Source organism: Homo sapiens, chromosome 2, assembly GCF_000001405.40.
Source record: "Homo sapiens chromosome 2, GRCh38.p14 Primary Assembly".
NCBI lineage: Eukaryota > Metazoa > Chordata > Mammalia > Primates > Hominidae > Homo > Homo sapiens.
Window position 1 is genome coordinate 38,545,179 of NC_000002.12, and position 15,053 is coordinate 38,560,231.

The window sequence follows — 15,053 nt, forward strand, 5'->3', positions numbered from 1 at the left end:
GTTTTGCCATTTTGGCCATGCTGGTCTTGAACTCCTGACCTCAAGTGATCCAACCACCTTGGCCTTCCAAAGTGCTGGGATTACAGGCATGAGCCACCGCACCCAGCCTGAATGTTTATTTCTTACGCTTTGATTATTTTCAAATTAAGGAACTAGTTTAATAGCCACTTGGGCCCAATTTCTGTGGTCCATTTGCAATATCTCCATCAAGAGAGCGAGCACCTTCCAGAAAAGTCTAGTGGTTATAGGAGAACTAAACAATGCTAAAAACTTTGGCCACATTATGCACAGATACAACTGGCAACCAGAAATACTCCACTGGAAATGGTAGCCCTGATGAGAAGTCATGGCCTAAGCTAACTAGTTTTTCACATCTGATTCTCTAGTCACATCATATACTGCATTTTTTTTTTTTTTTTTTTTTTTTTTTTTTGCTCAGGAAGTTCTTGAAGAGCGCTTCATTTATGATAGAACACACTCTGTTGCCTCTCAGAAAAGAGCTTTCATTAAGCACAAACAGAGCTGCTCTAGTAAATGGGCTCTCAACAAACAGGAGTACTGTACCAAGCAATAAGACAGTGATTCTTTGTGTTCCGAGTTTGACACGTGGTGTAGGACTTCTCTGCCTGGGCACTATGGCTCACGCCTGTAATCCCAGCACTTTGGGAGGCCGAGGTGGGCAGATCACTTCAGGTCAGGAGTTCGAGACTAGCCTGTCCAATATGGTGAAACCCCGTCTCTACTAAAAATGCAAAAATTAGTCAAAAGTTAGCCAGGTATGGAGGCAGGCACCCGTAAGCCCAGCTACTCGGGAGGCTGAGGCACAAGAATCCCTTGAGCCCAGGAGGCAGAGGTTGCAGTGAGCCGAGATTATGCTGTACTGCACTCCAGCCTGGGCAACAGAGCAAGACTGTGTCTCAAAAATATAAAAATAAAAACAGTATTTCCAGAGGACATACACCACATACTGTGGCATATTTTATTTTCCAAAGATGGTAGCTATAATCTCTCTTATCCCCCATGCTCTTCTTACAACATAATTTTGACACTTCTCCCCCTTGGAAGTAGAGTGCCCTTAAATCTGGAAAGGTTTATGGCATGGATGAAGTGACACTAAGGATATGCCACAATTTGTTTATTTATTCACTTTTTTTTAGATGGGGTCTTGCTCTGTCACCTAGGCTGGAGTGCAATGGCATGACCATGGCTCACTGCAGCCTGAAACTTCTGGGCTCAAGCAGTCCACCCACCTCAGCCTCCCAAGTAGCTGGGACTATAGGTGCATGCCACCATGCCTGGCTAATTTTTTTTATTTTTTGTAGAGACGATGTCTCATTCTGTTGACCAGGCTGGTCTCACATTCCTGGTCTCAACCAATCATCCCCCCCTTGGCCTCCCACCTCCCAAAGTGCTGGGCATGACCCACTGCACCTAACCTATTTATTTCCTTTTTGATGACACTTAGGTGTTTCCAGTTTGGGGCTATTACAGATAAAGTTGCTGTGAATATTTATGTATGAGTCATCGTAGAGACATATACTTTCTTTAGGAGTGAATGGTTGGGTCATATGGTAGGTATATGGTTTAACTTTTGGGAACTGCCAAATTACTTTTGCAAAGTGGTGGTACCATTTTACATTCCTATGAAAAGTATGTGAGAGTTTCATTTCCTCCACATCTTCACCATCACTTAGTATGCTCAGTCTTCTTTTTTTGTTGTTTTTTTTTTTGGGATGGAGTCTCATTCTGTTGCCCAGGCTGGAGTGCAGTGGTACAATCTCGGCTCACTGCAACCTCCGCCTCCTGGGGTCAAGCAATTCTCTTGCTTCCTGAATAGCTGGGACTACAGGCAGGTGCCACCATGCCCAGCTAATCTTTGTATTTTTAGTAGAGATGGGGTTTTGCCATGTTGGCCAGGCTGGTCCTGGTCTCAAACTCCTGACCACAAGGGATCCACCTGCCTCAGGCCCCCAAAGTGCTGGGATTACTGGCGTGAGTCACCGCACCCGGCCTCAGTCGTCTTAATTTGGCCATTCTAATACATATAGAGTGGTATCTCATTGTGGTTTTCATTTCTATTTCCCTAATGACTAACGGATAATGATGTTAAGCATCTTTCCATGTGCTTATTCATCTTTTATGTATCTTCTTCAGTAAAATGTAGATTCTAATCTTTTTGCCAAGTTTTAATAGGGTCATTTTCTTGTTGAGTTTTGAGAATTCTTTGTATTTTCTAGATACAAGTCCTATATCAGAAATATATGTTGCAAATATCTTCTCTTAATCTGTAGCTTGTCTTTTCCTTCTCTATTAGAGCAGAAGTTTTACATTTTGCTGAGTTTATGAGTTTGGGTTTTGGATTTTTTTAATAGACCAATGTTTTTGGTGTTGTAAGAAATCATTACTCAAAAAAAGGTCACAAAAAGTTTTCATCTATAAGATTCATAATTTTAGCTCTTGCATTTAAGTCTTTCACCCATCTTGAGTTAATTGTTGCATATGGAACAGAACATGGCTAGAAGGGGTCTTTCTGCATATGTATTTCCAGTTGTTCCAACAACATTTGTTGAAAAGAGGGTCCTTTTTCCACTGCATTTCTTTTCATATTTGTAACAAATCAGTATGCATTATCAATATGTGTGGCTTTATATCTATATTCTGTCCCATTGATCTATTTTTATTTTACACACCTACCACAGTCTTGATTACTATAGCTGTATAAGTTTTGAGGTGGAACCCTCATGAATGGGATTAGTGCCCTATAAAAGAGGTCCCAGGGAGATCCCTGCTCCTTCTGCCATGTGAGGTTACAGTAAGACAGCCATCTATGAGGAAGCAGGCCCTCACCAGACCCGGAATCAGCTGATGCCTTGATCCTGGCCTCTCTAGCCTCAGACAGAGAAATAAATTTATGCTGTTTATAAGCTACCAGTTTGTGGTATTTTGTTATAGCAGTCCATCCAAACTAAGACTTACTCCAACTCTGGTTTGTTTTCAAAGTTGTTTTGGCTATTCTAGGTCCTTTGCATTTCATATGAATTTTTACAATCAGCTTATAAATTTCTACCTTAAAAAAAAAAAAAAAAAAAAAAAGACCTGCTGGGATCTTGACAGAGATCGCATTAAATCTATAGGTCAATTCAGGGATAACTGACATGTTAACTATATTGAGTCTTCTGACTCATGAACAAGATATATCACTCAATTTATTTAGGTCTTCTTTAATTTCTCTAAGCAATGTTTTATAGTCTTTCAGTGTACAGGTCCTGCATATCTTTAAAATTTTTTTATTTCTAATTATTTTTGTTGTTGTTTTGAGATGGAGCCTCACTCTGTCACCAAGGCCGGAGGGCACTGGCACAACCTCAGCTCACTGCAGCCTCTGCCTTCCAGGTTCAAGCGATTCTCCTGCCTCAGCCTCCCGAGTAGCTGTGATTACAGATGCCCACCACCACACCAGGCTAATCTTTGCATTTTTAGTAGAGACAGGTTTTCTCCATGTTAGCCAGGCTGGTCTCAAACTCCTGGCCTCAAGTGATCCACCCACCTCGGCCTCCCAAAGTGCTGGGATTACAGGTGTGAGCCACCATGCCCAGCCTATTTCTAATTATTTGTTGCCTATTGACTTTTTAATTCTTTTAATTTTTATCGTTTAATTATCTTTTAATTTTATCGTTTACAGTTCTTTATGGTTTTGTCCGTTTTTATTGTTTAAAAGCATCCCATATTTATTTCACTCATGTAAAATCATCTCTTCGAAGAAGGTAAACGTTTTTGCTTTTTAATTTTTTCCTGCTCCCTGCATAGTCTGTTTTCTCTAGGTTTCTGTCTTTCATGTTAAAGGATTAATTTTTAGCAGTCTATTCATAATTAAGAAGGACACACTAAAAAGCCAATTAGCAGCTCTGCATGCACGGGCAAGGAGGGTTCAGTAGTAGCTATCACTGTAACTGCCCACTTAACAAGAAACCCTTAAAATGTCAGAATCTGTAGTATTTTTGCCTTTGGCTAGACAGCTTCTCCAGAGAAAAATCCTCCAATCTGCTTAATGAGCTATAAGCTGATTGCCAGAATTCTGGGAGCCTAGTTGGAAGGAGGGAGCAAGAAGAATGAGGGTGGGCAGTCTCAGTCTTCCATATGTAGATTTGCACTTCATTTTCATTTTCAGAACGGTGCCTCAGCGCTCATTCTCTCTGCCTTTGTTTCTGAATTTGATGCTTCTCTACTTGAATTTCTCAAGAAAATAAGCTTCCTTTCTTGTTCGGAGGTAAGGGAGAGGTAGCCATCTGGCAGGGTCAGATATGGAAAGGAATCTGTGGTTTTAAGTCTTCCTTATGTTCTTTCAACAAGACTCTGTTATGAGCCCCTCTCACCTCCAGCTAGTTAACGCGACTGAAAGGTTCCGATTCCTGAACCTTTCAGAGTAAACTTTGTAAACTGGCATGCCTACTGGCATTTTCTCTGCAGGCTACTTTCCATTTTTCATTGGCTTCACATTTTTCAGTTTGTTGACATCACTAATTTGCTGGTTTCTTCTATCTTAGTTGGATTTAAAGCATGCTTATTTTTTGCACAAGTGTGCAATCCACAACATTTATCTAGAGGTCAAAATAGTTTTGAATTACCAAGTAATAACCCAAAGTAGCAGTCCTGACCCTTCGTGCCATCCAGTGTGGCTGCAGAGTTCTTACGTCTAAGGAAGGGAGGGAGGCTGAAAGGTGGGGCCTGGTTCACTCAAATTAGTAATTTTAAAACATTGTCGTTTGTAAAGATATACAAGAAAGTGTAGATGACTGTTTTCTTTTTTAAGAGACAGTGTCTTGCTTCGTCACCCAGGCTGGAATGCAGTGACATGATCACTGTAACCTCAACTGCCTGACTTCAAGTGATCCTTCCACCTTAGCCTCCCAAGTAGCTGGGACTATAGGCATGCACCATCATGCTGAAGTGAGAAGTGCTTGAAGCCAGGAGTTCAAGACCAGTCTGGACAGCATAGGGAGATCTGATGTTTTTAAATTTTTTTTTTTTTGTAGAGATAGGCTCTCCCTGTGTTGTCCGGACTGGTCTTGAATTCCTGGCCTCAAGCGATTCTCACGTCAGCATCCCCAAGTGCTGGAATTACAGGCATTAGCCACCTCGCTCAGCCAATTTCTATAATCCTCCTATAATGGCAAACCAATATAAAAGTAAAAATTAAAAACTGCAACATCAGACAGAATTGCCCTTATATAAAAAGAATGAAAAAGTAATTACAAATCAATAAAAAGATGAGCACCCAATAGAAAAATAAAGATGGCTAAAATATGTGAAAATAACATTTTTCACCTATAAGGTTAATAAAATTTAATAGGCCATTTCTTGAATTGAGGGGTGCAATTTGGCAATTCTGTCAAAATGTGAAATGTGATTACTCTTTTCGACTGAGAAACTCCAGTTCAGGAAGTATCATGAGCACATAAATGGGTGCTTGAAAAGCTATATGATGGGTAAGCATAGGCAGAGAGTAACAACAAAAAAAAGAAAACTACAGAAAAATAAAACTAAGAAAAGCTGTATGGCAAAAACCCATCAGCATGGGATTGATGAAGTAAGTTACCATTCCATCTCACAGTGGGATACTCTGCAGCAATGAAAAAATGATAGTGGGGAGGTGATTTTCCTTTTGTTTAAATCTTTTTGACTGAATCTTTTCTAATAAGCATGTCTTACTTTTACAATCAGAAAAAGCAAGATTGCCATTTCATTTTATTCACTTAGAAGCAATTTTGAATAGTAGTTGAGAGTATGACCTTGGGAACAAAATTGCCTGGGTTCAAGTCTGAGCACCACCTCCTTGTTAAACCTTCAACAAACTGCTTGATGTCTTTGCTCCTGTTTGCCTGTCATTAAAAGGAATATAATAACAACCTCATGAGGTTGCGGTAAGAATTAAATAAATTAATATACAAGATATTAATACTTGGAACCTACCTGGCTCAAAAAAGGCAGTTGATATGTATTAGCTACTATTATTTCATTTTGGAAACACAAAGATTATTTAATGATTTGTGTTTAGGCTGTGTCAAAATGTCTCTGGCATCAAACAGCTGTTTTAAAATGCCAGCGGTCAATGGGAAAAAAACAAGAACCAAGTGACAGGTTTAAATATTGGAAAGGAAGAAACAACATGTAATTATTTGCAGATGATGCAATTGCCTATCTAAGAAAATCCAGGAGAATCAACTGAAAAATTATCAGGATGAGTAAGAAAATTCAGTAGAAGAATAAAAGAGACATATTTTGAATTCAATAGCCTTACGCTATACTAGCAATTACTAGTTAGAAAATAAAACGGAAAAAAAAGATTCAATTCACAATAACAAAAAAATATAAAACCTCTAGAAGAAAGTTTCACAAGAAATGTATAAGTGCACACAAAGAAAATCAAGGTGTTGGCTGCTTTCCGGAGGCTCTAGGGGAGAAGACATTTCCTTGTTCATTCAGCTTGTTGGCAGAATTCAGTTCCTGACAGTGACAGGACTGAATTTACCTGCTGGCTGTCAGCTGAGGACTGTTTCCAGTTTCTAGAAGCTGCCCACATTCCTTGGTTTGCAGCCCCCTTTTTCTACCTTCAAAGCCAGCAACAGCAGGCAGTTCTCCTCATGCTTTGAATCTCTCCTTCCATCTCCTCTTCTCTTAAAGAAGAGAGGAAAGTTTCTCACTTTTAAGAGTTCATATGATTAGATCGGGCCACCTAGATAACCCAGGAAACTTTCCCCATCTAAAGGTCGGTAACCCTTACTCACTTCTGCAGAGTCCCTTCTGTCATGAAGGTAACATATTTACAGGGGCTGAGGATTAGGATGTGGATATCTTTGGTGGGACATTATTTTGGGGGGCTGTTATTATAAGAGTTAAGAGTGTCTGCTTTGGAACCAAACCTCAGGGTTTAGAATCCTAGTTTCACCATCTAATGGCTGAGCAAGATTGAACAGCTTACTTTACATTTCCCCATCTTTATAATAATGGCCTCAGCCTCATCTGTCATAAGAATTACTTAACATGTATATTTAACAGGATGCCTAACATGCAAGTACTCAATAAATGTCAGCTATAATTATTAATAGTCAACTTAAACAAGGAACATTTTCTGATCTCAATTAGGTTTCACCTTGTTTCCAACCCAGGGCTGCAGCCTGTCGAGAGTTTTTAATCTTGATTCTGTGGTCTTCAGTATTGTAACTTCCTTCTAGATTGGTGTTATCTTCCCTTTGACAGCATGCTTGCTCCTTCATCTCAGTCACAAAGTCAGGCAGGGTCACCCTGTGGCTTTGGCACAAATGGAGGCAGTTCTCATCTGTGAGAACAACTTTACATAGAGACCATGACTACATGGGCAAGGTGCTGACAGGAAGGGGAAAGGAAATACAGAGTTCCCTGCCGTTACAGAGTTCAGAGACAAATGACTGTTTTAACAAAAAAACAGAAAAAAATGGAGTTACTGCAGTGGTACCCAAGGCCTACTCTATGCCATTTAATTTGGGTTTAATTAACAAATAAGATAAATAAGAGAGATATTATCACTATTCTACAGATTAACAAAAAACTGAGGCTCACACCATCGTTAGGGCTTGTTCAGGCTCATATGGCTGATAAAGGGCAGCATAGGACGCAAATCCAGGATTTTTGACTTTGCTAAGTCCTATGCTTCCTCCCCTCGGCACCTTCTTTAGAAGGATATGGAAACCAAAATGGAAAACAGTTTCCTATGCTTATCGAAAACTGGAGTAGGGTCTGCCACTGGCAGACAGTTCTGTTTGTTTGCCACATCTGAGAATCTCAAAAACCCCAAAAAGTGGACAACTAAATGATGGAAAAAATCCTGGGGTGTTGATGAAAGAAGAGCTACTTAATTAGAAGAAACTAAAAATGATAGAAAAAAAAAAGAAAATTGAGACTCATCAACCTAGAAATGTTACAGTCGAGAAAAGAAACCTATCAAATCCAGACTGACAGAACTAAGAAGGACAGGGACTGTTTATGATAATCTAGTTGGCACTTTTCAAACACCTGTGAAGTACTTATTCACAGACCAGAAAACAAACTTATCAAACTCTGTATCTCCACAAAGAGTGCTGGCCAGAAATATTCAGGCAGGTAGTCATGCCAGTGAGTTCCTGGGAAAAAAATGCTAAGTTGAATCATTAGAAATTAAATTGTGTTTTCCCATATGAACAGCAATATGATGAGGGGTCCTGGCCAAGGGGGTATCATGTCAAATAAACCACACATATGGCCAACATAATATTAAAACTCTTATGTTGTCTCTGGAAAATTCCATACTCATTAAAAATAAAAGGGCCTTTATGTACCATATCTTGGTTATATAAGGAATGTCCATCTACCATAAGCTGCGTATACAAATATAACTTATATATATATATACAATACCAAAAGTTCTATAATAAATTTCCCTTAAACCTCAAGGTTAAAATTAAAAAAAAATTTTTTTAATAGAGATGGGGTCTCACTACATTGCCCAGGCTGGTTTCAAACTCCTGGGCTCAAGCGATCCTCCCACTTCAGCCTCCCAAAGTGCTAGGATTACAGGAATATAATCCTAAAATGATATTAACTTTGCCTGCCTTTAGAATTTAGGAGGGTTTTTACTGATGTTATATGAATGAGGCAAGTCTTTTGTGTGTGTGTGTTATGAGAGCCAGGGTCTTGCTCTATTGTGTAGGCTGGAGTGAAGTGGTGCCATCACAGCTCACTGCAGCCTCAACCTTCTGAGCTCAAGCAATTCTCCTACCTCAGCCTCCCAAGCAGCTGGGATTACACGCACACACCACCACACCCAGCTGATTTCTTTTGTAGAGATGGGGACTCACTGTGTTACCCAGGCTGGTCTCAAACTCCTGGGCTCAAGTGATCCTCCCACCTCAGCCTTCCAAAGTATAGGCAAGGTGTGAGCCACTGTGGCCGTCCAGCAAATCTATAAGAAAAAACAAAAGCCAGGTGCAGTAGCATTGTGTCTGTGGTTCCAGCTACTCCAGAGGCTACGGAAGAAGGATCGCTTGAGCCCAGGAGTTCAAGGATGCGGCACGCTATGATTGCACCTATGAATAACCAGTGCACTCCAGCCTGGGCAAAATAGGGAGACCCCATCTCTTAGAAAAAGCTGTCCAGGCAGGTTGGGGTAATTTGAATTGCCAACTTGCTGTTATTTTCTAGTACCTGAGCTAGACTTTTTAATCTATAAAATCCATTTGTATTGCAGAAAAACCACAGATTCACAATGGCAATGATTGGATTGTGGCAGTTGATATCTCCTATTGTGGTAGCATAGGGACTCTCTGGAATACCCTTATCTCTTCTAGAGATTTGTATTGAATGTCACCAAAAGTACTTTTCTACGTAGTATTTCATTATGAGATCAGTTGGTCCTCAGGTATTGTTGCTATTCCCGTTTTACACGAAAGGAATCTAATGTTTAACAGTCATCTTAAATGACTTGCTCCCAGTCACACAGCTCATTAGCGGCAGAGCTGGGATAAGCAGCCAGGTCTCACAAAGTCCTAACCCAGTGTTCTACTACACAACACTCTCTCAAAATTATTGGGAATTATTTTAGGCTCATCCAAAATGACCAGAATGGAATGAGTTATCTCTGTCCCTTCTTAACTCCACCACATTATCTTGGGCTACTTTATAAACTGTGCCTTAAATGAAAAATACTACTCTTTCCCGCAGGATAACCAGCAGCTGTCTGCCAGCACAAAGATACTTCTTCCAAGAATCTTTGGGAGCTGGCGAGATGTATACATGGTCAAATCAGGATTTCTAGTTGATAATAGTATGACCATAATCCAGACAATAGACTACAATCCAAGTCTTCCCAGCAACGTCTTTCCTATTTAACCTGTTTTGGTTTTTTTGAGATGGGGTCTTGCTCTGTTGCCCAGGCTGGAGAGCAGTGGTACGATCTTGGCTCACTGCAGCCTCGACCTCCTGGTCTCAAGCAATCCTCCCACCTCAGCTTCCCGAGTAGCTGGGACTATGAGCGTGCGCCACCACACCTGGCTAACTTTTGTAGAGACAGGGTCTCGCAATGTTGCCCAGACTGGTCTTGAACTCTTGGCTTTAAGTGATACTCCCACTTTGGCCTCCAAAAGTGCTGGGATTACAAGCATTGCAGCTGACCAATTCATTTTTTAAATGCCTAAGATCACTCCCTCTCACCACTAGATGGCCAATGGCATAGTGAGACTTTCTTCTGACTATAAATGCTCTGTTCAGATTTTTCTCAAAGCCACCATGACTGCAGGGGGAGTAATTATTGCGTCTCTTCCTCCCAAGTCTTTAGGATCTGGTATACTCCAGATTTCTTCAAGCTCAGAAAGGCCAGTCTTTGAAGAACACAGCTTTTGAGATATCCAAATCCAATACCTAGGTGTGCAAACACTGATTTCACTCCCTGCATCATAGCAACCCATTCTATCTATATCCTGCCCCCATCCACCTTACCCATAACTTGACTAAGAGGAGGTAGTTGATGTCAATTGGGAATCCCATGGGATGGAACCACTGCTGCTTAACAACCATTTCCTCAGCTATCTTCCCATAGACTGGGATACAAAGTTCCCAGTCCGACCTCTCTCTCTGACCTCTACCAGCTTTAAGGAGCCTCACATGAGCATTTTTCATGATGCAGGCAACTGGCAGGCAGTCTGATCCTTTCTTTTATTCACTAAGATTGTTGCTAAAATGCAAACTTACTAGGTAACAAACATAATATTATATTAACTTGATCAATTTAAGAACCCTATATGGATAATTCAGGCAAGAATAAAACCTTTACTCAATAGCAGTTTTACCTATTTTATCCAAAGAACTTCAGCAGCCCCTTACCACACGTGTTAACTGCTGAGCCAGAAAAGAATCAGAAAAAGTATGGAATAGAACTGCATTCTTAACAAACCATGCCATGTAGCCTAACTTCTACATTATACAGATGAGGAACTAGACCTAGGAAATGGGTTGCCCAAGACCAAATAGTGACAGAAGTTACTAAAATCCAGGCCTTGCCCCTCAGTCTCTGCCCTTTCCGCTGTACCCTGCCACATATTCTTCGTTGGAAGAGCATCATGACCCATTACACGGCCCTGAGCTCCATCCCATGTGTCCCACCTGGTGGCAAGTAGGTTGAGGATGGGACTCCATCTATTCCCTGTGCACTTTCAGTGTCTTGCTCTACAGTTTATAAACCATGTGGCCTTCATTCACACATAATGGCAATAATTTGCCAAAGCAGTCTTACCTTCCTCAGAAACATAAATAAACAAAAATAACAGGTTTTACTGATCCTGAGTCGAGTGTTTAAGAAGCAAAACTGCAGGGAGCAAAGGGTTATTACACAGCAGGAGGAGGTACAACAGGTGTGGAGCTATTTTAGTCTTTTTGGTCAAGTGGTGGAAATTTTGGCTCAAATACTAGTGCCTTGCTGAGAAATATTGTGGGATAAGTGATCATACTAGGTCTTTGTAGGACGAGCTTGAATTTGTATTGGCAACAGTCATATAAATATTACTTACCCTTCTAACAGTCTAGCAAGAAAACCTCTACCATGACTGAGGTGGCTGATACTGGCATCAGTCCTCTCAATTTTGTTAGGCAGAAAAATCTGAGGTTTTATTATGTATCATACAGGTGCATAAAACAACACGCATTAGCTATCTCATTTTACATTTTTTTTTTCCAGAAGATTCCTAAAACCCTCTAAAGGATTTATAAATACACTGCACACATAATTTTTGTTTTTATGGATTTTTGTCTATATAAATCAGTCTCTTATTGAATTCCTCTTCAAGACTTTGAAGCAGCTATGTATATACGTTAGCATGTGTGCCAAAGTCTAAATGAAACTGGGTAAACTGGTTAAAATAGTCTCTTAATTTTTCAAGAAAATGTGAGTATATTCATGAATAGATCCTCCTGCAGGCTGAGACTCAGTGAGAGTAGCTCAAAATTAGTTAGGATAAAGTCTGTAAACTAAGCAACCAAAGCATTACTCAGGCTTAGGAACACAAGAGAAATTCTATTTTCCATTCATGGAATCATCCCCTCCCCACCCTCAAATCCTCTTTCCTAACCGTTCACTGTGCACAAGACCTCAGTGGGCTCTCTTCCCTGGCTCTAATCTCTTGTCCCATAGTCCAAGGTGACCAGAAGTAGCCAGCCACCCTAGCAATACAATCATAAACCAGACTCAGGATCCCATCTCCTGCTGGTGTGGGAGTGAACTAACTCAACAGATTCTCCCTACACACCTTCCCCAATGTATCTAACCGGCTACATTTAAGCCTTGCAGACCCATATTAGCCCTTATTTAAAGGAAAGGATTGCTGGGCTAGACCTACTTTGTTACTGTAGTAAAATACTGTAGCAAAATAAAATTACTATTTTAACTTTTAAAGTATACAATTCAGTGGCATTTAGTGCATTCACAAGGTGTACAACCATCACCACTATCTAGTTCAGAACATTTTAATCACCTAAAATATATCTTGTAGCCAATAGCAATCACACCTCCATTACCCCCAGCTGGCAACCAGAATTTTGCTTTCTAATCATTTACCAAAGCAGTTAACATTGCTTAGGCTACTACAGCTAATACTTCTACTCACTGAGAAAAGCCAATTATTTCAATGACTCAAAAGGGCTTTTGTGTAAGATTTTGAGTATTAACATCTAGATTCAAGTCATTATATCCCCGTTTACTTTGTTAAACTTGGGCAGATCAAAAAAATCTGGGTCTCTCATCCCCAATTTGTGAAACGGAATGATTATACAGCCTTCGCGCCTCCACCACAAGTGCTGATCATTCCTTGACCTTATTTTTTCATCTTATAGTGGAATTCATAAAAGCTAAAAGATTCAGATTATATTACTCAAAGACTAAAGACTCCCTAATCAATTTTCAGTTCCTCTTAAGAATTTAGGAAATAGTCTGCCTCATATTTAGAAAGAAGGCTTAGCCATTTCTCCGTTGCTTCCCTTCTAAGCTCAAATTAACCTACTGACTTTTTAAAGCTAACCATCTGCCTGAACTTGTATTGTCTGGCATACTAAGTGCACTTGATAGAAGCTGGAATAAATGACTGAAATATCCAAGAAGCCAAATCGTTGCAAGTGACACTTCTGATATGGTTTTTGTAGAAACTGAAGGTTTTTTGGTTTAAAATTGTCATTATTTCTTTGAATTTCTAAGCTGCAACGAAAATAATCTTATCTACTTTACATTCATGCTTTGTGACATCAAAAATCAAATATTTTAAATGGAAATCAATGGATAATAAAATTTGTTTTGAATATATACACACATAGTACAACTAAGTCAGATTCTGCAGATTATCTGGGATATCAGTATTTTTTAAAAGTTCCCCACATGATCCTTTTTGCTAGTCATGAAATCATCTCCCCACAAAATAAAACGTTACTCTCCTAACTGTCGAGAAGCACTGCTAAATATCCCCGTGCAGCACCGGCATTATCTATCTACCTTGTTTTTCTTCCCCTACTCTCCGAAGAAAAGGGTGTTTCACATAAAGTCACATCCAAAAATCACCTTAATAACCTAAACTTCACAATCGTTAAGTTGTAATCAAGTTTCACACTCCCAAGCTATACCACTGGTATTGTTATTTAATAAGCTATACTAAAATTATGGTAACAACGAAAGTCTTTCAGGCCATTTACTGTTTTCCGGGCTCTCATTAAACTATGATTACTTCCCAGAAAAAAAAAAAAAATAACATTGCTTCTTAATTTCTTTTGGTATTACTAGGGAGAAAAAAAAGGAAAAAATAAATGATGACCAGATTACAATTATCAACTCAACTCAAAGCAAACCTTTCAAGGTTGCTCTGTAGCTTAGCCTGATTACTGTGTCACCCCACAAGGGAGCTGTCAAAGTTTCCAAATCAGAGACTGCCACTAATTCAGTAATTTTACTTTATTAGCAGTTCTGTATCACTTACAAGGGTTTAATGTATACAGTAGAGATGATTTCTAAGTTACATATAAATAAGCTTTCTGCTCTTAAAAATTAAACGACCCTAGAGTTGATTTTAAATGTTCTCACCACAAAAAATAAGTATGTAAGGCAGTGGATATGTTAATTAACTTGATTTAGCCATTCCATAATGTATACATTATACCCCATATATGTAATTTTTGCCCATTAAATTTTAGAAACTCTTAAACGAGCCATTAACAAATCAACACACAATACTTTCAGTAAGTGTCCATAAATATTACATCTATGTCTAAACTTTGTGGTATCTGACAGAAGAGTACAAGGTACAGTCTCTTGCCTGTAATCCCAGCACTTTGGGAGGCTAAAGTGGGAGGATCATTTGAGGCCAAGAGTTTAAGGCCAGCCTGGACAACATAGCAAGACCCCCATCTCTACAAAACAAAAAGTTTAAACATAAAAGAGTTACAAAAAAAATAAAGCCTACGGTTGGCAAAAAGACAAAGATAAATCATGTTTAAAATAGGGCCTTTTTGGGCGCAGTGGCTCACGCCTGTAATCCCAGCACTTTGGGAGGCCGAGGTGGGCAGATCACAAGGTCAGGAGATCAAGACCATCCTGGCTAACATGGTGAAACCCCGTCTCTACTAAAAATACAAAAAAATTAGCCGGGCGTGGTGGTGGGCGCCTGTAGTCCCAACTACTCGGGAGGCTGAGGCAGGAGAATGGTGTGAACCCAGGAGGCGGAGCTTGCAGTGAGTGGAGATCACACCACTGCACTCCAGCCTGAGCAACAGTGAGACTCTGTCTCAAAAAAAAAAAAAAAAAAAAAAAAAAATTGGGCCTTTTGTCAAACAATTGTCAGTGCTTTCATTTGATTGTGCTGTTTGTAGATTAAACTGCTAAAGATGAGATTTAGGCAAATGGAGACCCTTAAAATACATAGGTTGTGTTTTCAAACTCAAAAGAGAACTCTGAAGATGGGTGTATTTTGCACGAAATACCAAACTAGCCTATGCTCAAGGTGGTTTCCACTGTG

General features: G+C 39.7%; 1 annotated feature.

The window, feature by feature from the left end:
- Positions 7,199–7,403: a silencer, noted in NCBI's record as "fragment chr2:38779519-38779723 (GRCh37/hg19 assembly coordinates)". NCBI's record gives its function as "represses an EF-1alpha promoter that drives an FKBP-Casp9 reporter gene in an ReSE screen in HepG2 liver carcinoma cells {active_cell/tissue: HepG2}" and the evidence as "EXISTENCE:reporter gene assay evidence [ECO:0000049][PMID:32094911]".